The sequence below is a fragment of the Homo sapiens genome, chromosome 18 (assembly GCF_000001405.40).
Source record: "Homo sapiens chromosome 18, GRCh38.p14 Primary Assembly".
Taxonomy (NCBI): domain Eukaryota; kingdom Metazoa; phylum Chordata; class Mammalia; order Primates; family Hominidae; genus Homo; species Homo sapiens.
In genome coordinates this window covers 8,131,015-8,154,583 of record NC_000018.10, presented here as the reverse complement: position 1 = coordinate 8,154,583, position 23,569 = coordinate 8,131,015, and the positions used below count along the sequence as shown (strand labels likewise).

At 40.9% G+C, this 23,569-nt stretch overlaps 1 protein-coding gene and 1 long non-coding RNA gene across 37 annotated transcripts in view, besides 1 other annotated feature; one reads left to right on the top strand and one right to left on the bottom strand.

Annotated features, from left to right (window-relative positions):
* The window catches only part of PTPRM (protein tyrosine phosphatase receptor type M), an 839,541-nt gene that overhangs the window by 252,273 nt on the left and 563,699 nt on the right, over window positions 1-23,569 (bottom strand). For all 36 annotated transcript variants that reach the window (XM_011525708.3, XM_047437715.1, XM_011525712.3 and 33 more), the window contains one exon: window positions 10,805-10,937. In XM_011525708.3, the coding sequence (XP_011524010.1) occupies window positions 10,805-10,937 (133 nt within the window). The remainder of the gene's footprint in view (window positions 1-10,804; window positions 10,938-23,569) is intronic.
* Window positions 11,756-12,955: an enhancer, noted in NCBI's record as "P300/CBP strongly-dependent group 1 enhancer chr18:8141627-8142826 (GRCh37/hg19 assembly coordinates)". NCBI's record gives its function as "activates an origin of replication core promoter dependent on BRD2, BRD4, P300/CBP, MED14 and CDK7 cofactors, with strong dependence on P300/CBP, by STARR-seq in HCT116 cells {active_cell/tissue: HCT116}" and the evidence as "EXISTENCE:reporter gene assay evidence [ECO:0000049][PMID:35650434]".
* LOC107985119 (uncharacterized) lies at window positions 14,482-21,633 on the top strand. Its single transcript, XR_001753548.2, has 2 exons — window positions 14,482-14,724; window positions 19,302-21,633. It is a non-coding gene; the product is annotated as an uncharacterized LOC107985119 (long non-coding RNA).

Below are 23,569 nucleotides of genomic sequence, written 5' to 3'. Positions count from 1 at the left end.
TGTCAAGCAATTTTCCAGTGTTTGAATTTGCTGTCCTCCTGCTCCCAAGCTAGCAGGCGAGCTGGCCTGGCATGTGACAAGTACAGACGATGGCGGCTGGCTCATCCTCTGTAGGACAGACTTCCCATTTTATTTCTAGAAGGAATGAATGAATTTGTTTCACCCACACTGTCTCTTGGGCCCAGTCTGTCTTTATGACCAACAGCACATATTTGAGGTGGACGACTCAGAATGCTGCGGTAGAGGAAACATAGGCTAACCAGTCCACACAGGAATGAGTGCAAAGTTTCACAGCATTTGCTTCTAACTGACAGTAACAACTAATAATATATTGAAATCCACACCCGAGGCAGTTCCTTTCCTTCCCTCTCTCTCATTCCTTTTTCCATTTCCCTACGGCTTCCCTTTTAATTGAGGGCCTCCTGTGTGAAGGTCGAAAACATGTAGCTGGAAGATAAACCACTCATCAGCCATCACCTCTGGGCTTGAACTGAACTGAGAGAGCCTGGGGAAGAGCTGCTGCAGAGGTTTAAGTAGGGAAACACAGTAACAAAACACATGCGGTACTTCTAGAATAGCAAATGCGTAGTAGTGTCACCAGTGGCTACTACCTACCAGGAAACCTGACATTTTGGAATTGAGAAGGTCTTCAGAGATCATCTAGTTGAGTTTTCTCAACTTACAAAAGAGGAAACTAGGGCCAGAGAAGTTCAGAATCACAAAGTCAGTTAAAATACAGATCTAGGAATTCCACATCTAAGTTCAGTGTTCTTCTAACCAAACAATGTGGTGATTACCTATCAATAACACCCCAACAATTTTTCTATGATTAATGTTATGCTTTAACTTTTCTGCTTAAAAACACTACCTTTCAAATTTAGACTTGAAATTTGGTAAAAAGTCCTGGACAATTAGACGTTTTAAGAATTTCTATGGAATATGATAGTTTGTACAAGACTGCTCAAGTCTAAAGATAATAGCAAGTTTTGTATTTCTGAGCATGGTATACTGGCTAATTCATCTGACAGAGAATATACTCTATTTTTCAGAAAAAGCAAATCCCAAAGTGGCACATGCTGTGAAGACAACCCTTTTAAGATTATTATCTAGTAAATAATCATGTAAATCTGACATGACTTGTTGGCATTTAGTCTAAAGTTGCATTAAGGCCACGTGTTACCAAAGGCATCTCTTCAATGCATAATTTATAACATAACCTCAACGACTACCAGAGAGACCCAGGTAGAATCATGAATTAATATTGCAGAAATAGACCCTTGGAGGATTAGTTGACATTTAGCTAGGGTCACAAGGGCAACTGGATTAGTAGTTGCAGGCTATTCCTCACAGAGAACTTGCCAGATGACAAAATATATCCACCATATTCCCGGAATTAAAAATAAACCTCTTCAAAATGTTTAGTTTGGATGTCCAGGCATGGAAGGGCCTATTGTTCCTTAGGACTTACACTGGGTCATATGTTTTTAAAAAGTACAAACTACTGGTGCCAAAAATAAGCTATCTACATACACATTGAGGTGGGGAATGGACGAAGAACATCCAGGAAAGGCCAGGCGCAGTGGCTCATGCCTGTAATCCTAGCACTTTGGGAGGCTGAGGCAGGGGGATCACGAGGTCAGGAGATCAAGACCATCCTGGCTAACATGGTGAAACCCTGTCTCTACTAAAAATACAAAAATTAGCTGGGCTTGGTGGTGTGAGCCTATATTCCCAGCTACTTGGGAGGCTGAGGCAGAAGAACTGCTTGAACCCAGGAGGCGGAGGTTGCAGTGAGCTCAGATCGTGCCATTGCACTTCAGCCTGGTAACAGAACGAGACCCTATCTCAAAAAAAAAAAAAAAAAAAAAAAAGAGGTGAGGCATAAGAAAAAGAGAAAGAAAAAAGGAAATATGGGAAATATGGAGGAAAAAGGAAATAAAGAGAGAAATAGGTAAAGAAGGGTAAAGAAAAGAGGGGTAGAGAGGAATGGAATGAAAATAAATAATGAATGAAAAATAAAGATAGGAATCACACGATGGGTAGAAAAAGAGATAAACGGCACATGACAAGTGGGGAAAAACAGTTGTAATGGTGGGGACCAAAGACCAGGGATGCGCACAGCTGTGACAGAGCAACGGTTTGTCCTGGGGCTTGACTAGAACAGAACCATAAATGGAGGGAGACTCAGAAAAGGAGTAGATGCATGTATCTATACTGGAATATTAACTCGCCCTGAAATATTGCTGTTGCCAACGGTTTTACCTTCATCCTTGATATTCCTTCTTCTCACTCTACAAAAACTCTGAGGAGCCTCTTCCAAACCTATGGCTTCAGCTCCAGAAATGTTGATGACTTTCAGACTATGGAAATTATTATTTCTAGTCCACAGTAGCATATTCAACCTCCCAGTGAACATCTCCACTTAATTTTAAAGGAGTATTGAACTTAAAATGTGCAAAGCTGGGATTGCTGGCAAGATGGCTGAATAGGAACAGCTCCGGTCTGCAGCTCCCAGCGAGATCAACACAGAAGGTGGGTGATTTCTGCATTTCCAACTGAGGTATATGGTTCATCAAATTGGGACTGGTTGGACAGTGGGTGCAGCCCATGGAGGGCGAGCCGAAGCAGGGTGGGGTGTCATCTCACCCGGGAAGTGCAAGGGGTCGGGGAATTTCTTTCCCTACCCAAGGGAAGCCGTGAGGGACTGAGCCTGAGGAACCCTGCACTCCAGCTCAGATACTGCGCTTTTCCCATGGTCTTCACAACCCACAGACCAGGGGATCCCCTCTGGCGCCTAACCCCACCAGGGCCCCGGGTTTCAAGCACAAAACAAGATGGCTGTTTGGGCAGACACCGAACTAGCTCCAGGAGTTTTTTTTTTTTTTTTTTTTCCATACCCCAGTGGCTCCTGGAACGCAAGTGAGACAGAATCATTCACTCCTCTGGAAAGGGGTGCTGAAACCAGGGAACCAAGTGGTCTGCCTCAGTGGGTCCCACCCTCATGGAGCCCAGCAAACTTAGATCCATTGGCTTGAAATTCTTGCAGCCAGCACAGCAGTAGTCTGAGATTGACCTGAGATGCCCCAGCTTGGTGGGGGGCGGGGGGGGGCGGTGGGGTGCCTGCCATTGCTGAGGCTTGAGTAGGCGGTTTTCCCCTCATAGTATAAACAAAGCCACCAAGAAGTTCGAACTGGGTGGAGTCCACTGCAGCTCAGCAAGGCCACTGTGGTCAGACTGCCAGATTTCTCCTTCCTGAGCAGGGCATCTCTGAAAAAAAGGCAGCAGCCCCAGTCAGAGACTTGTAGATAAAATCCCCACCTCCCTGGGACGAAGCACCTGGGGGAAAGGGCAGCTGTGGGCGCAGCTTCAGCAGACTTAAATGTCCCTACCTGGCAGCTCTGAAGAGAACAGCAGATCTACCAGCACAGTGTTGAAGCTCTGATAAGGGACAGAGTGCCTCCTCAAGTGGGTCCCTGACCCCCGTGTATCCTGACTAGGAGACACCTCCCAGTAGGGGCCGACAGACACCTCATACAGGAGAGCTCTGAGCGGCATCTCGTGGTTGCCCCTCTGGTATGAAGCTTCCAGAGGAAGGAACAGGCAGCAATCTTTGCTGGTCTGCTGTCTCCGCTGGTGATACCCAGGCAAACAAGGTCTGGAGCGGACCTCCAGAAAACTACAGCAGACCTGCAGCAGAGGGGCCAGACTGTTAGAAGGAAAACTAACAAACAGAAAGGAATAGCACATCCACTCAAAGACCCCATCTGAAGGTCACCAACATCAAAGACCAAAGGTAGATAAATCCATAAAGATGGGGAGAAACCAGCGCAAAAAGCCTGAAAATTCCAAAACCAGAATGTCTCTTCTCCTCCAAAGGATCATAATTCCTCGCCAGCAAGGGAACAAAATTGATTGGAGAATGAGTTGACGAAGTGACAGAAGTAGGCTTCACAAGGTCGGTAATAACAAACTCCTCCAAGCTAAAGGAGCATGTTCTAACCCAATGCAAGGAAGCTAAGAACCTTGAGAAAAGGTTAGACAAATTGCTAACTAGAATAATCAGTTTAGAGAAGAACATAAATGACCTCATAGAGCTGAAAAGCACAGCACGAGAACTTTGTGAAGCATACACAAGTATCAATAGCCGAATCAATCAAGCAGAAAAAAGGATGTCAGAGACTGAAGATCAACTTAATGAAATAAAGTGAGAAGACAAGATTAGAGAAAAAAAGAATAAAAAGGAACTAACAAAGCCTCCAAGAAATATGGGACTATGTGAAAAGACCAAATCTATGTCTGATTGGTGTACCTGAAAGTGACGAGGAGAATGGAACCAAGTTGGAAAACACTCTTGAGGATATTATCCAGGAGAACTTCCCCAATCTAGCAAGACAGGCTAACATTCAATTTCAGGAAATACAGAGAACACCACAAAGATACTGCTTGAGAACAGCAACCCCAAGACATAATCGTCAGACTCACCAAGGTTGAAATGAAGGAAAAAATGTTAAGGGCAGCCAGAGAGAAAGGTCAGATTACTCACAAGGGAAGCCCCTCAGACTAACAGTAAATATCTCTGCAGAAACCCTACAAGTCAGAAGAGAGTGGGGCCCAATATTCAACATTCTTAAAGAAAAGAATTTTCAACCCGGAATTTCACATCCCGCCAAACTAAGCTTCATAGTGAAGGAGAAATAAAATCCATTACAGACAAGCAAATGCTGAGAGATTTTGTCACCACCAGGCCTGCCTTACAAGAGCTCCTGAAGGAAGCACTAAACATGAAAAGGAACAACCGGTACCAGCCACTGCAAAAACATACCAAATTGTAAAGACCATCAACACTATGAAGAAATTATATGAACTAACGGGCAAAATAACCAGCTATCATCATAATGACAGGATCAAATTCACATATAACAATATTAACCTTACATGTAAATGGGCTAAATGCTCCAATTAAAAGACACAGACTGGCAAATTGGATAGAGTCAAGACCCATCAGTGTGCTGTATTCAGGAGACCCATCTCATGTGCAAAGATGCACACGGCTCAAAATAAATGGATGGAGAATATTTACCAAGCAAATGGAAAGCGAAAAAAATCAGGAGTTACAATCCTAGTCTCTGATAAAACAGACTTTAAACCAACAAAGATCAAAAGAGACAAAGAAGGGCATTACATAATGGTAAAGGGATCAATGCAACAAGAAGAGCTAACTATGCTAAATATATATGCCCCCAACACAGGAGCACCCAGATTCATAAAGCAAGTTCTTAGAGACTTACAAAGAGACTTAGATTCCCACATAATAATTGTGGGAGACTTTAACACCCCACTGTCAATATTAGACAGATCAATTAGACAGAAAATTAACAAGGATATTCAGGACTTGAACTCAGCTCTGGAAAAAGTGGACCTAAGAGACATCCACGGAACTCTCCACCCCAAATCAACAGAATATGCATTCTTCTTTTCACCTCATCACACTTATTTTAAAATTGACCACAAAATTTGAAGTAAAACTCTCCTCAGCAAATTCAAAAGAAAGGAAATCATAACAAACAGTCTCTCAGACCACAGTGCAATCATACTAGAACTCAGGATTAAGAAACTCAATCAAATCAGCACAACTACAGGGAAACTGAACAACCTGCTCCTGAATGACTACTGGGTAAATAATGAAATGAAGGCAGAAATAAAGATGTTCTTTGAAACCAATGAGAATGAAGACACAACGTACCAGAATCTCTGGGACACATTTAAAGCAATGTGTAGTGGAAAATTTATAGCACTAAAGGCCCACAAGAGAAAGCAGGAAAGATCGAAAGTTGATACCCTAAAATCAAAATGAAAAGAACTAGAGAAGCAACAACAAACAAATTCAAAAGCTAGCAGAAGACAAGAGATAACTAAGATCAGAGCAGAACTGAAGGACATACAGACACGAAAAACCCTTCAAAAAAATCAATAAATCCAGGAACTGGTTTTCTGAAAAGATCAACAAAATAGCTAGACCACGAGCCAGACTAATAACGAAGAAAAGAAAGAAGATCAAATAGATGTGTAATAAAAAAAGATATAGGGGATATCACCACTGATCCCACAGAAATACAAATTACCATCAGAGAATACTATAAACACCTCTATGCAAATAAACTAGAAAATCTAGAAGAAATGAATAAATTCCTGGACACATACACCCTCCCAAGTCTAAACCAGGAAGAAGTCAAATCCCTGAACAGACTGATAACAAGTTCTGAAATTGAGGCAGTAATTAATAGCCTACCAACGAGAAAAGGTCCAGGACCAGATGGATTCACAGCTGAATTTTACCAGAGGTACAAAGAGGAGCTGGTACCATGCCTTCTCAAACTATTCCAAACAACAGAAAAAGAGAGAATCCTCCCTAACTCATTTTATGAGGCCAACATCATCCTGATACCAAAACCTGGCAGAGACAACAACAACAAAAAAAGAAAATTTCAGGCCAATATCCCTGATGAACTTCGATGCGAAAATCCTCAATAAAATACTGGCAAACTGAATCCAGCAACACATTAAAAAGCTTATCCACCACAATGAAGTCAGTTTCATCCCTGGGATGCAAGGCTGGTTCAACATACACAAATCAATAAACGTAACCCATCACATAAACAGAACCAATGACAAAAACCACATGATTATCTCAATAGATGCAGAAAAGGTCTTTGACAAAATTCAACAGCCCTCCATGCTAAAAACTGAATAAGCTAGGTATCGGTGGAACACAACCCGAAATAATAAGAGCTATTTATGACAAACCCACAGCCAATATCATAGTGAATGGGCAAAAGTTGGAAGCACTCCCTTTAAAAACTGGCACAAGACAAGGATGTCCTCTCTCACTCACTCCTATTTAACATAGTATTGGAAGTTCTGGCCAGAGCAATCAGGCAAGAGAAAGAAATAAAGGGTATTCAAACAGGAAGAGAGGAAGTCAAATTATCTCTTTGCAGAAGACATGATTGTGCATTTAGAAAACCCCATCGTCTCAGCCCCTAACCTCCTTAAGCTGATAAGTAACTTCAGCAAAGTCTCAGGATACAAAATCAACGCAAAAATAACAAGCATTCCTATACACCAATAACAGACAAACAGAGAGCCAAATCATGAGTGAACTCCCATTCGCAATTGCTATAGAGAGAATAAAATATCTAGGAATACAATTTACAAGGGATGTGAAGGACCTCTTCAAGGATAACTACAAACCACTGCTCAAGGAAATAAGAGAGGACACAAACAACTGGAAAAACATTCTATGCTCATGGATAGGAAGAATTAAGATTGTGAAAATGGCCAGACTGCCCAAAGTAATTTATAAATTCAATGCTATCTCCATCAAGCTACCATTGACGTTCTTCATAGAATTGGAAAAAACTACTTTAACTTCATATGGAACCAAAAAAGAGCCCACATAGCCAAGACAATCTAAGTAAAAAGAACAAAACTGGAGGCATCATGCTACCTGACTTCAAACTATACTACAAGGCTACAGTAACCAAAACAGCATGGTACTGGTATCAAAACGGATATATAGGCCAATGGAACAGAACATAGGCCTCAGAAATAACACCACACATCTAGAACCATCTGATCTTTGCCAAACCTGACAAAAACAAGCAATGGGGAAAAGATTCCCTATTTAATAAATGGTGTTGGAAATAGCTAGCCATATGCAGAAAACTGAAACTGGACCCCTTCCTTACACCTGATACAAAAATCAACTCAAGATGGATTAAAGACTTAAACATAAGACCTAAAACCACAAAAATCCTAGAAGAAAACCTAGGCAATACCATTCAGAGCACAGGCATGGACAAAGATTTCATGTCTAAAACACCAAAAGCAATGGCAACAAATGCCAAAATTGACAAATGAGATCTAATTAAACTAAAGAGCTTCTGCACAGCAAAAGAAACTATCATCAGAGTGAACAGACAGCCTAAGAATGGGAGAAAATTTTTGCAATCTATCCATCTGACAAAGGGCTAATATCCAGAACCTACAAAGAACTTAAACAAATTTACAAGAAAAAAAAAACAATCCCATTAAAAAGTGGGCAAAGGATATGAACAGACACTTCTCAAAAGAAGACATTTATGCAGCCAACCAACATATAAAAAAATGCTTATCATCACCGGTCGTTAGAGAAATGCAAATGAAAACCACAATGAGATACCATATTATGCCAGTTAGAATAGCGATCATTAAAAGTCAGGAAGGCTGGGCACGGTGGCTCACGCCTGTAATCCCAGCACTTTGGGAGGCCAAGCAGGCGGATCACAAGATTGGGAGTTTGAGACCAGCTTGACCAACATGGAGAAACCCTGTCTCTACTAAAAATACAAAAATTAGCGTGGTGGCATGCATCTGTAATTCCAGCTACTGAGGAGGCTGAGGCAGGATAATTGCTTGAACCTGGGAGGCGGAGGTTGCAGCGAGCTGGGATCATGCCATTGCATGCCAGCCTGGGCAAAAAGAGCAAACAACTCCATCTCAAAAAAAAAAAAAAAAAAGAAAAGAAAGAAATAAAAAGTCAGGAAACAACAGATGCTTGAGAATATGCAGAGAAACAGGAACACTTTTACACTGTTGGTGGAACTGTAAATTAGTTCAACCATTGTGGAAGACGGTGTGGTGATTCCTCAAGGACCTAGAACTACAAATACCATTTGATCCAACAATCCCATTACTGGGAATATACCCAAAGGATTATAAATTGTTCTACCATAAAGATACATGTATAGGTATGTTTATCGTGGCACTATTCGCAATAGCAAAGACTTGGAACCAACCTAAATGACCATCAATTGATAAAGAAAACAGACTGGATAAAGAAAATGTGGCACATACGCACCATGGAATACTATGCAGCCATAAAAAAGGATGAGTTCATGTCCTCTGCAGGGACATGGATGAAGCTGGAAACCATCATTCTCAGCAAACTATCACAAGAACAGAAAAGCAAACACTGCATGTTCTCATTCATATGTGGGAGTTGAACAATGACAATGCATGGACACAGGGAGGGGAACATCACACCCTGGGGCCTGTCAGGGGGTAGGGCGGTAAGGGAGGGATAGCATTAGGAGAAATACCTAATATAGGTGATGGGATGATGGGTAAAGCAAACCACCATGGCACGTGTATACCTATGTAACAAAACTGCTCATTCTGCACATGTACCTCAGAACTTAAAATATAATAAAGAAAAAGAAAAAAAATGTGCAAAGCTGAACTCTCCATTTTTAGTGCCCCCACCCCATTTTGTAGTTCCTATGTTCCACATTTTGGTGAACAGAAATATCTCCACTAACTTGCCCAAACCAGGAACTATTCTAAGTCTTTCTATATTGTCCCTTCTCTCTCCAAATGGCTACTAAAATTTAACTCTTAACTGTTTCTAAAGTTGCTCTTTCTCTTCCTTCTACTGGTCTTCCTGATTTGAGCTCTCTCCCCTCCTCACTGTGTCCAATCCTAACGTTAGAGTTATATTCCTAAAAATGAGATCATGTTACCACCTACTCAAAGGCCATCAACAGTCTCAGGCCCAAGGTCAACCTCCTTCCATGACCAGATCAGAGTTTCTAGTCTTCACTCTGCCAACCTCTCCACCTTTACCTTCTCCCATCCATGAACTCACTCTCAATGCATGACTACAACTGTTTCGAAACAATAGAGAAAAGAACAAGATCCACATATTCCCTCAATTTGGGAAACTTTATGCCATCAATTCTTAGTATCTATATTTTTGTATTGATTTTTACATAAATCGAAGATTTTATTATTAAGCAAGTTTTTGCTTGTTTCCACAAAACAAGACACTGCATAGTTTTCAAGTATGGGAGGTGAGGATCACTTATTATGGCCATATCTGTTTTTCTCTCCCCCAGACTATCCCTTGGCTCTTGTAACACACAACTTTGTTTGTTTGTTTGTTTTTGGAGACAGGGTTTTGCCCTGTTGCCCAGGCTGGAGTGCCATGGAGTGATCATAGCTCAAAGTGATCCTCCCATCTCAGCCTCACCAGTAGCTGAGACTACAGGTGTGTGCCACCACGCCCAACAAATTTTTGTATTTATTGTAGAGACAGGGTTTTGTCATGTTGCCCAGGCTGGTCTCGAACTCCTGGGATAAAGTGATCAAATGATTCACCTGCCTCCACCTCCCAAAATGCGGGGATTACAGGCATGAGCCACGGTGCCCAGCCACACCACTTGCTCTGTGATTTGTTCTAACACGAGCTGCTCCCGCGCTGCATTTTTCTGTCGGGCTGTTTTTGCGGGTTCTCTTTCTCATGGATGTTGTGCTGATGACCTTCCCTAGCACGGTGCCTACATATAACACAGGCCCCATAAAATCTGTCATCATCATCATCCTCACTATAATAAAAAGTAAAGTCTTCTCATATCTTTGTGATTACCAAATGTCTTAGTATGTTGGAAATCAGTACTAAACATTTCCTGGTGAATAAGTGGCTTCTAAGATTTTGCAGAGCTTTATCTGCCACTGTGTGGGAAGACACAGGATGGTTATTCTGATATGATATGCTTTGCGTATTCACACAGAATCATAGCCATTTACTCTAAATTTTTGTCCCATAACCTTCCATGCCACATGATGAAAAATGTTAACAATCACAGAGTCACAGATGTGTCTGGGTTATCAAAGCCAGTTCAGTAACTGAGAATTTTCACACACACAAAACATTCCAGCAAACAATGGGATATAACTGTATCTTTGGCAACAGCTAGGAGCTCACCTTTTCTTCATTACCAACACAACTCCAAGAAATATAATCACGAACAGCAAGATGCCCGCGATGACTCCAGCAATTTTAACTGTATGGTCTGTCTGTTTCTCGGGTTCTGGGACTGGTTTCGGAGTGGCAGCTCCTGAAGATGAAAGGAAATGAAAAAGGAGAGACTGTAGGTAAGAGAGAATAAAGATGCCACAGTTTAAAAAATTTCGCTGCATTTAACAGAGTAATAAGACTTATCAGAGCCAGCAGACAGACAAGCTTTGATTTTTTAAACAGCTTTCATATGCACTGAAAGCAGCGTAATTGTTCACATTGTTCTTCAATATTTTACTAAACCATATACAAGCTGGATAGCACACCCATGCCTGACCCTTTTCTATGAGACTCTTCTCAAACATTTTTTTTTTAGAAAAATATTATTTTATTATCTCTATTGGCTCCTGCTCTTTCTGCCATTTAAAAACTTACTAACAGCACAATAGCTATCCCTAAGCCTTTATCCAAATTTGATTTGCTGGAACATTTTCCTCAGTTATTTTTCATAAACGAAGCAGTAATTCCATAACATATTAGTCCAAACACCTGGAAAACTGAGATAAGCTCATTTACCATGCATTTTTACCAGCAATTGTTTTTTAACACAATAGAGTTTTTTCCCCCTGCCTTTGGAAATCTAAATCTAGGTCACATCTGGTAGGCAAAAGACTCCTTCTAAGCAATTTATTCACAAAGTGGAAGCGGCTGATGATCACACCACTGGCACCCACATTTAAAATCTGTTTAAATGAGATAACCAGGGTCTTACAGTGGTGGTGGCTGTCTTAGCTCCCCTTTCTCATGTCTAAAACATGAGACATGTTTGTCCCGTTTACTACAATGTAATGGAATGTCAAATCCATGTCTGATGAAATATACGTTTCCTCTGCTAAGTGCATTCAGGATGAAAAATATTAGGAATGCAATGTTCAATTCCCTAAAAAGACTCCTTTGTAAAAGGGCTTGTACTTTTAAAATCAGAATGTGATGATGCTCTGAGCCACACCACCCTTACTAGGTGACAGGTCATTCCGAATGGAGGAATTTTATGTCCAAATTTTCCTCCTTAGAATTTTCTTTTTGTGTTGGTAAAAATGTAATTAAATCGGAGTGTTTGTAAACCAGCTCTTTCCACTCTGTCATGAGGTTTTCCACTCCTACGTCACCTGACTCACGAAAACCTTAGTTGTCACTGTGTCTGAGCCCCCAAGACCAGGAGGACAAACTCTAAAATGAGTTATCACTGAGAAAGAGGGAGTGCCAGATATCACCTTCCATCTGTTTTTTTGTGTCCTTTGGGAACACGTAAATGATGTTTCTTTCCAAAGTTATTCCTGGTGAGATTTTATACATGAGGCCCTGCATTCTGAACATGGCTGTAGTCATTAGACTGACCCCAGGAAGTGAGTCAAGGTCAGGGAAGAAGCAAATTGGAAGCTCGTCAGTGTTTCCATGACAAAGCATATTCCAATCATTTGAGAGCCGCAACAGCAGCAGCCATGATGCAAAAAACACACCTTATGAAATAAAAACCCTTCTGAAGAAGCCTCTACAGGTCAATTTTATTTCTGACAATGTCGAGAATAAGTCCTGCTATTTTGATTCAATGAATATCCCTCAAACTAGTTGTTCAGTTAAATCTTTAAGGTATTAATGTTAATTATCCTTTATGGTAATTACATCTGAAATACACCACTCCAATATTCTATTGGAACATATCACCAGGTGGCTGACTGGGAGGAAATTGTCACATTAAACAAATTGCTAAGAAAAACCTAAAGATAAAATGTGTATGTGGATAAACAAAATTTTTTTAAGTTAAATAAGCAATCTATACAAAAAGAAGTAACATTTGAAATTCACGAAACTGAAAAAAGTCTGTTTTTCCATTTTGATTTTGTGTCCAATTAAAACAAATTTTTAAAATAAAATCAAATTGGTTTTATTCTTCCAAATGTTGACATACTGGAAAGCCATTCCATTTATCTCACTAGTTATAGATAGCTGGCTCTCCATGTATATTTCCTAAATAGATGAGTTAAGGTATGTTTTGTAACTAAGTTATGTCACTAAATGCAACACTTGGGAAAAAATGTTTAGAAAAACTTATTTACCTTAAGACATTTTAATATAAAAATAGCACACATGTAATGCATACATTGTGAACACTCAGTAGAGGAGGGTCTGGCTCTGTGGGAACTGATGAATGACTATTCTGCTTTGGGCCAAGGAGGGGTGGTTACCTGCAGCCTTTCATCCCCTTTAGGAAGCAGCATGCACATTGCTATGCAGCCTGTGGAAGCTCAGTATTATCATTTCTTAGCACTGACTTTTAACTCATTTCACATTGCAGGTCAAGGGAATGAAATGTTCTATCTTGGCCTGACACAGTTGCAACGTGATGACGGTAGCAACCACGCTAAATGGGACAGTGACTCAGAAAAGGTGGGAGGGCTGCCTGGGAGTGGCCATCCGGTTGAGTCGGGTGTTTGGGTTTAGGACTCTGCAGAAGCATCAGTGTAAACACAAACAGCCCTCGGATAACCTGATGGGTGGGTGTCACTGACTCCAGACCCCTTGCCCAGGAAGTTCCTGCTTTCCTGCCTGTGCCCTGTCCCTCTATCCCTGCCTGAAATGAACATCTTTAGGCTCTCCTTAAATAGGATGCTCCTCTCTCCTCTTTTATTGCTTTGGGAACATGTGGTTCTGGTTATGACCTGTCAGCGGGCCTTGGACAGGGGATATTTTTGACAGAACATGGTTGCAACTGATGGTTGTTTATTTTTCCTCACCCAAATCTATGAATTTAACAGTATAATTTCTAAACTGCTTGGCAAAAGAGTTGTTTTCATTCTATTTCCCCCTCGGTCTTGTTATTTTCTTGCCAGGTTTCTCATGGTATAAACTTTTCCTTTTTTTCGTATAAATTTTAATTGCTTATTAAAAGGCATTTTCTCTTCTTGTGTGTATTCTGTTAGGACAGCAGTGTGCATTTAGTTCCTTTTGAAGAGAATAAACTTGCATGTGTCCATTTATCAGTGGATATTATCTAGGCCTGCTACTGTATCGTATTCATTGCACTGGTGAATAAGCTAAATATTACAGGGAGATTAAGAGACTGCTAAAATCATAGAGCATAATCCTCACAGATGCCCAGTCTACTGACTCCTAGTGATAACGCTGGTTATTATTTTTATAATGGCCAAGAAAATAAAAAAGAGTGGTATTCCAGTCAAATTGCATTAAGATTTCAGTTATAACATCTAGTATGTAAAACAAACAAACAAACAAACAAACAAAAAAACTCAAAACAAATGGAATGATTAACCAATGCAGTATTTAGCTGGTTTTCAACTTGGCAGAAAACAATTCCACTTTGGCCCAGTGTTCAACATTAAATTAAATAACAGCAGCAAGCCAGGCTGAGAACACGATGTACTCAGCCACTGGCTTGAGGTCTGGGCCCAATTTTGACTACTGAACTGGCTGCACAAATTTTCCCAGAAGATCCAAGGGTACAAGCCCAGAAGGCCATGAAGGCTGTCAGTGGTGCCCAGAGCTACTGACCATGCTGCCCACAGCACGGGCTGCTTTCACCCCGAGTGAACGGGAAGCTTTCCCAAAGGGAGGGGAGTGGCAGGGTTAGGAAGAGCCGCAGGGACAGCTCAGCTGCAGAACTTTGCACGGTGGTGACTAGTACGAGGTTGACCTTGAATGTGGAGGAAAAAAATCCAGCAATATTCTTCATTTATTCAACAAGCATTTATTGAGTAGCTAACTGCTTGCCAAGCACTGTTTAAGGAATACAGTGGTGAGCAGATGGACAAAACAAAAACTTCTGACCTCATGGAACTTAAATCCTTGTGGGGAAGACAGACACCAAGGTAAACCAATATTGTAGGCAGTGTCTGGCCAGGCTAGCTGTAGAGAAAAATCAAGGGGAGTGGGCTGGGGGGTGAAGGCAAGGCAGCTATTAGGATGGGGGATTGGAGAAGGAATTACTGAGAAAATAACATTCGAGCAGAGACCTGAAAGAGGAAAGGGAGTGGGAGAGTGACATCCAGGGAGGAGAAAAAGGGAAAAGGTGCAAATGAGACTGAAATACTGAGTGTGACTGGAGTGCGGTGAACTGCGGAGAAGGTGAAGCATAATTTTAGGGTGGGGACACCTCCTTAGATAGCTGGAAGGACTCTCTCTGCTTGAGAAGCCTTGGGAGGATTCTGAGCAGAGGAGGAACTTGATCTGGCTTATATTCAACAACACTATCCCGGCAGCCGTGTGTACTGCAGGCTGTAGCGGGCCACGGTGGAGGCAGGGACCTCAGTTACGAGGCTATTACGAAGATGCAGGGAAGACACTCATGGCTTGGAGTGAGAAGGTAGCAGTGCAGGTGGCAAGATGCCATCAAACTTGAGACACGCTGTGACAGTCCAGCCATCAGTTTTGCCGATGAACTGGATGTCGAGTGTGTTAGGATAACAACCAGATTTCTGGCAGGAGTCACTGGACAGACACAGCTGCTACTAACTGACAGGGCGAGAACTGCAGGAGGAGCAGGTTTGGAGGGGTGGGTGGGCAGACCAAGAGTTTAGTTTTGGACCAATGAGGTTTGAGATATTTGACATACAAAAGAGATAGCAAGTAGGCAGTTGGATGGATATACAGGGGAGAGATCTGGGTGTAGAAGATAAATTTGAGGTTGTCATAAAAAAGATGGTGATTACAGTCATGAGTCGGCCGGGGGACACTTAGGAAGTGAACAAGGGAAACAATGGCGGGTCAAGGAGGATGGAACTCAGCCACATGGAGGCGGATGTCCAGGCGAATACAGACACAGGGAGCATCCGCACGGAGCAGCCAGAGAGGAAGAAAGGGATCACGAAACAGTCTTTTTTTCTTAAGATGGGAGAAATGACAGCATCTCTGAATGCGAATGCTAATGATACCATAGAGAGGGCAAGTTGATGATGCGGGAGGGAAAGGAGCTGCCTGCTGGAGGGAAGCCCTTGCAGAGGCGGGAGGTGAGACCAGCGCGCAGAACCACGAGGGCTGATGTTTCACCCAGAGGAACAGCAGAAAGCCACACACGCAGCAATGCACAGGCTCTTGGCAGATGCGCTGGTCTGGGAGCAGAGCATTTGAAAGGTCTCTTTTGATGGCTTCATTTTCCCAGGGAAAAAGGAACCAAGAAGATGAGGGGAGACTGAGGACCAGAACGGAGGTGTGAGAAATCTCAGGCCAAAAAGTTTTGAAGTTGTCTAGAAGAGGGAAGGGAGGGATGTCCCAGGCTGGGCATGGGTGGGATCTGCTGGTAGCCAACCAGGAGTTCCAAGGACACAGAAGACAGGGTTGGAAGGGGGCTAAGGCGTGAGAGAGAAGGGGAAGGTGGGCCAGTGAGAGCAATCCTGATGGCCACGAGCCAACAGTGAGGGTGGGAAGTGGGGCTGTGGCTGTATCCAAGAGCATGCAGAGCCCTGGGCCGTCTCTTCACTCCTCCTAGTTAGGATGAAGAAGGGGAAGAGGAGGGAAAAAAAAAAAGGTAGGGGGTGATCCCCACTCAGACTTACATTGGGGAGGGGTGTGACCAGTGTTCAGATCAGAGATACAGAAGCATCCCTGTGACACTTGACGTTCCCTCTAAATATAAGGGATGAAGCCGTGAACGTGGGCCAGCACTGTCCTGTTCATATGTGTGGCTCATGTTGGCTTCCACAGCCTCCGAATTAGCAGCCCCTTATTTAGTACGTTTTGTGCTCAAGGTACTGGAACAAGGCTCTGCAGGGGAATTAGAGTTGAGTATGTGCCTCTTCCTTCAGGGAGTTGACCACAGTAAATAAGGCCAGAAGCCTTAAGTGTCACAGGTAAGCTACAGAGTCCAGCTGGGGAAGAGTGGAGGGGATGAGGGAGGGCTCCTTGTCAGAGGCTGCGATAATGAATGGGCTGGAAGGACCGGGAAGGCTTCAACGCTGGGTGGGAAGAGTGCCTCATAAGCCAGAACAAAGGGGCCTCTGGAGTCACATACTAGCTTCAAGGGCAGGGTCTGGAGCAGGGGCTGGGGGTGATTGGGAAGAGGATTTGGAACTGAGGCTTTATGGTGGGATGGGTGTTGCTCACTGGGTAGGACAGCCCAGATTAAATTTAGTAAATAAGGAACCACAGAAAATAACAGAACAGTACCTTGAGAACAACTGGGCAGCAATACGCAGGCTCACTGAAGAAGGGAAGGGAAGGAAGTTGGGGAGCCATGGGAAGGCTACTGCCCCACCCAGGCCTGGAGCCTCCCCTGCCTGAATTGCAAGGGTGGCTGGAACGAGCAGGACACAAGAGACTCACAGAGGCACAGTCAGCTGTGTACAGGTGACAACACCCACAATGGCTCTGGGACTACATGGCCAGCTGGGGCTGTGTGTTGGGTTCAATGTCTGAATTGAACCTGAGCAACAAACTACCCCATTCACACCACATGCAAAAGGTTTCGGTGGCAAACCAAATACCACAAAGCCACTCTTGGTATTTTGGGGAGAAAGGAAGAAAAAAGGGGCTAAGGACAGTAACAATGGGAACTGCTGAAAAGAAAAGCTGAGGAGGCTGAAAAACCTTAAGAGATGCGACAGGGAGAAGAGCTAAAAGTAGAAAATAAAATGGAAGCAGTGGAAATATGTAAAAATATTGTTCCTTCAAGTGCGTTTCAAAGAGCACTGGTCCCAAAAGATAATCTAAAATTTAAATTCAGTACTCCATCACTTTGTGCTAGCATTTTAATGACTTTCATGGAATACTCTATTTTAATTAATTTTCCTTTTGTGTGTGTGTGAACATATGCAGAGGTAAATTTCTATACTTTTTCTTAAAAACAGCAACATCCTTGTTTTAAAGATCATTGTGAGACAGTTCATTCAGGTCTTGTTGCCCAGAGAATTAAAATCCTTTGCAGTCTTGTTTAGTTTTTTCCAGCTGTTCCTTCTTCACATTATACATAATCACAAAACACCTCCTAGATTTTTCATTTAAATTACATATTATTGTTTTTCTTCCTGGGAATGCGAAGTCAATCACTATTCCTGGAATAATCTACAGTCACATTTTGTGTATTCTTTGTAACCTGATTATGCTTTTGAATTTATAACTCTTCTTCTGTCCCTAATTTCCAGTGTAGGGCAAACAGAGCATATACAATGTACAAGTAATAATCAGAAACATAATTTTTCATATAAGACTGAGATAATGGATTGTTTGATATATATCTTCTCTAAAAAAATCAATCTTTTTTTTATTTTTGTTCTAATTTCATGACAGTTACTGCCTCATTTATTGATGTGGCTGACGCCCTGTGGAGAAGATGATCTATCAAAGCCTTATCACTTATCATCTGGACACTAAAAGTCCAAGAGAATTATTACTGCTCTTACTATTTTGATGAAATAGTTTTATTTTTTCCATTTGAATTTCTCAAATCATTATCAAGTAATAAAATAGGGAAACAAACTGTCAATAATAAGTTATCAACTGTGTGCAACTTTCACATAAGTGAATAATCAAGAAAGGAAGTGGGGGTGGCTGCTTCCAAAACAGATGATTCTTGAAGGTGATGTAGTTCAGAATGGAAGTTTCCAACCATTTGCTTGAAACTAAACTTTGAAGGCATTAAAATGGAAACCTACTGTCTCTCAAAATTTCTTCCAGATTTGTATTTTAGGTCATGGTCTAGACCTCGTGTTTACCTCTTAACATTTTTTCCTGTGGGAGAAAGGATCACCACAGCTTCCTACACAAAGTAGTTGTTGTTTGCAAAAACCACTTAGAGCTTTTCCTGCTGTCTGAAATTTGTCATTCACCATCTCATCAAAAAGTAAGTATACCTAGTCTATTCTGTATGCTTGCTAGAAGTATCAGTATTTCTGAGGCTCAAAAAATGTAGAGCCTAGCAAATTGCATGAGATGTGTGACATGACTTTCACAGGGCCTAAGAACTACACACACAAAAGATGGCCTTTTAGAATTGTGATGAGGACTCACACGGTCTTAGGAGAGAGTGGAAGTCATGTACTCTCCAGACTCTCATTTAGTAAACACACAATAGTTCCTCAAACAATAAATGGCTTTAATAAATATGGCTTATATTTATTGTGGCGTTGTGTTTAATATATTCTAAAACAGAGGGTCTCCAATTATAGGAAGTTTAAAACTCAGGCTGGGTGAAGAATCATTTGGAGAGCTTTGAAACATGCAGATGGCTGGGTTCCCCGTGGATTCTGGATCAAAGGTCTGAGGTAGGACCCAGGAATCTATGTAACACTTTTGGGGATTCCCTACACAACATGGAGAAAAAACCAACTCTAGAACTATGGCTCCAAAGTATGAGTGGGGAAGTTTTTCAGACTATGGCAAAATGAGAAAAAAAATGTAATTGTGTTGTTATCCTTAAAACATCTCCTAATATAATAATATCTTACTTTCTCAGCGATCCAATTTCCATCATTGATTGCACTATTTGAAAAGATCCTTTTATACAATGAAGAGGCAAACGTGGTGGAATCAAATCCTCATTTATGACTAGCCCCAGTATGTAGAGATTGGAAGACACTCTGAATTGTAAAGGAATTTAAAGTATATTGATCAACTGCCTGGGTGCTACTAAATAAGATAGGAAGGAAGAAAACTAATCTTTTTGAAGACCTACTTTATATGCTGGGTAACTTATATAATTTTTATTTAATATTATACCATGAAGTATAATTAATACCAGTTTACAAATGAGGAAACTGAAGCAACAGAAGCCATCAAGATAAACAGCTTGTCCTAAGTCAGTGAAAGAGAAGGAATGGTGCTATACTCTGAACCCAGGGTGTCTGACTGTGAAGCTGACTCCTATTTCATTGCACTACAGCATTCCCCAATATAATACAGAAAACTCAAGTGGTTATTGCTCATGCTATGGAATACAAGACTCAAGTTAAAAGTGATCTTGGTCAGTTGTAAAGAGGAGGGCCTAACAAAAGAATGAAAAAGGAAAGAATGAAAAAGGAAAGAATGAACAATTCAATAAGGAACTAATAATTCCGAAAGAAAAACAAGAGGAGAAAGGACTTCCTGGCCAAAGTGCAGAAAAGAAAGATCTGGTAATATGATCAATACAATTCTGAAATGTATGAGAGTAATGGCATGCACATAATCCTGGAGCATGATATACTAGTCATCATGTGGATGAGGAAAAGGAATCAAAGAAAAGAAGCACAAATGATCAACGAGGTAAAAAAGAAGGACTACGAAGAAGGATAAAAGGAACTAGGGTCATTTATCTAATGCAGGAGAAGGCAAGCAGGTGACCTGCCATCGGAGCTTCCCAAGAGTAAAGATCATTTCTTACCACCTTTGCTGTCTAGTGATTAACAGTCTCTTTAACACGGTGGGCATTTGACAAGCCTTTACTGAACGGATATTGTAAAAGACACAAGAAGCATTTGTAAAGAGAACAATAACCATGAGTGGTCTGTGTATAGATGGAGAAAAATATTTTTGAACATATAAGTGTAAAAGCAGGAGTTCAAGTTTGTACAGAGAAAGGCTGAGAGAGGCTTTCCCCTGTCTATGCACAATGTAGTCAGTATTCAGTAAAAGAGCAAGTAAATGAATTTTGGTTGTATTCAGTCCATGAAACTGGAATAAATTACAAAGGAGGTTTATTCCGCCCTTGGGTTAAAGAATTGTCATCTGACACTAGAGAGGTCAGTTATTACTGTCCTTCCCAATCTCTAACAAGTCTAAAAATGCTACATATTTTTTTCTTTATTCTCACTGCCATCTATTTCTCTTCTGGATTTTTATGCCTGACTCCCAAGTAGATACCTTAGCCAGTGTCTTTGACATAGTGCAGCCGTATGGATCTTCCTAAATAATAGCTCCAATCAAGTCACTCTTTCATTTAAAAAAACAAAATCAAATCCAAGAGCTTCTAAATGATTATTTCAAAAGGCCTTCCATGAGCTAACTCCAACCCCCTTTCCTAATATTATGCCACCCTCCTTTCTGAAATACACCAAACGGAAATGCCCAGTTTCCCCAAACCCTCAATATTTCCCTTCCCAAGGCCTTTGCTCCTGCTGCATAGGAGCTTTCCCTACTCAATTTGTGTAGGTTCAAATCCTATCCATCTTCAAAGGCCACACATTCCAACTACTGCTCCTAATTGCTTTGCAGAAAAGTATTCTCTCTCCTGCTGAACTCCTAGAGCACCTTGCTTGTCCCCTCTTGCACAGAACTTAACTATTTTCAAACTCAAGTTCAGTTATTTTGGTAAATCTTTATGTCATACACTAAACATAAATTCCTTGAGACAAAAGTAGTCTTACTCATCTTTGTGGCCCTCACATGCTAAGAAAGAAGGAAGATGTTTGAACATGAGCTCCACTGAGGATGCCAAGAGATGGCCAGGAAGAAAAGAAGGGTTTTTCTTAGTATGGTGATGACAGATGAGAGTCTACTGTGGTTTGAATGTCCTCTGCAAAATTCATGTTGCAAATTTAGTTGCCATTGTAAGAGTCAGTATTAAGAGGTGGAGTCCTTAAGAGATGATTAAGTCATGAGGTCAGAGTTCTCATGAATGGATTAATGTCATTATTGTGGAAGTGGGTTTCTGATAAAAGGATGAGTTTGGTCTGATTTCTCCTCTCTGTCTCTCTTGCTTGCTTCTGCCTTCTGTCATGAGATGACCCTACCAGATACCAGCAAAATGCTCTTGGATTGCCCAGCCTCCAGAACCATGAGTCAAATAAATTTTTATTGTTTATAAATGACCTGATTTGTGGTATTCTGTTACAGCTGCAGAAAACAGACTAAGACAAAATCCTTACCAGAAAATTTGCTGGCCAAACTTTCATCAATGATAAAAAGAGACTAACAGGAAGTAAGAGCATGGAAATAAATACTAGTGGCAAAACGTTATATCTTCAGCACTCAACGCTGTGAAATATATATCCAACAATGACTAGAACGTTAACTAGGTACATATCAGAGAGACACAAAGTGAGTATCTGTCAAGAATAAAGTGTTATAAACTCAATACTTGCAATGATTAAATAGATATAGGTAATTTGTCATGATTGTATATGGAGTTTGTTTTAGAAGTCTTTAAACTAGCCAAAATTTCTGCTGTATATTAATTACAATGGTCTGGGGCTCTTCAGAAAGTAAAAAACAGAGAAATGTCTAATAAGATAATTAGTAGGATTCAAACTATTAAAAGTAATTTTATTTAACAAAATGGCTATTGCAGTCCTATGATCCTACCATGGGAGCATTTTCGGACTTTGTTACTCATAGAAGTAAGGCAGAAATATAAATAATTCCCTTTATTAAGTCCCTAAACTGGCTAAAAGACACATGCAACTCACTTTGATGCTGTCTTTACCTATGTGCACGTGTGTGCATTTGTACATAAACATATACCAATATCTAAAGAAATTATTCAAAGACATATAAGGAGAACCCACTGAATTGGTACTACAATCACAAAGACTTTTGTTTATCATGTTTACTGTGAAGAGGTATTACATAAAATCCTGAGTAAAAAATACCAAATTAAATCACTGTAAGGACAACACCTACACAAAATCTCAGACAAAAGTTGGTATGCCAGTATGTGTTTTGACTAAGAGCTCCAACTTGAATAAACTATGTTATAATTAATAATAAGCCATAATTAATAACTGCATCATTAGCAACACCAATAAGTAAATTACACATATTAAACTGAACATCAGTTACACTGCTAAAGTGATGCATTGCTTGGATATTTACTAGAGCAAATGGAAAAGCTCATCAGAGATACTGATCGATATACTAAGCAGATGCCATTTATTAACTCCTAGGCAGGTGCCAAGTTTATTTTCAAACATTGTTTCTCAGAGACAGTTATTTATTCCTCTAAACAGAAAAACAGCATGTTGAAGAAAATTCGTGGCTAAGCCCTGCTTCTAAGTAAGACTTCTCATTCCCTTACAAATAGCTTTATATTTGTCTACTTTCATACTTAGTGTCTGAAAAGGTTATTACATAAGATATCTATAATCCATATAATAGAGTTCTATTAAAGTGCATCCCCTCATGCTCTCTTGAGAACTGATGCTGTTGAAATATAAACACAAAGAAAGGCATCCTCATCTAAACTAAGGACGCTGAGGGACAAAGGAACCTCAAATGGCCAAGAAAGGGAGCCTGGTGTTCTATTCAGTGTGCTGGGTGGCAGGGAAGTATAAAATAGGTTATGCTCTGTTTTGGGCTATTACTGCTTGAAATAAAATAGCTGTATTTGAAAATGCAGTAACTTTATTCATCAGCATCACCAACACCAGCATTGCTTATCATTGCCAACAGCAAGGTAACAGCCTGGGTCATGCTGATGCTGCTTTTATCCCAAAGACAGGTAAATGGAAAATATCATCAGTGGGAGACTCATCACAGGTCTTCACATGTGACAGAATAATAATGTCCCTCTCTTGCTTCGGTGCTCCTGGAGACCACAGCATCCACATGGTGTTCAAGTAAATAATACCCTACATACTATCAAGAAATCCATTCATTTTCCCAGAAGTTCAATTTTGAATGTCTCTGAAGAGCTGCAGTGTCAACTTGGGACTGGCAGTGGCCTGGATTAATTACTGAGTCATCTTGAAAGCCTCATGGGCCATAAAACAATCCTATATTAGAGTAACAACAACAAAGCCACATGAG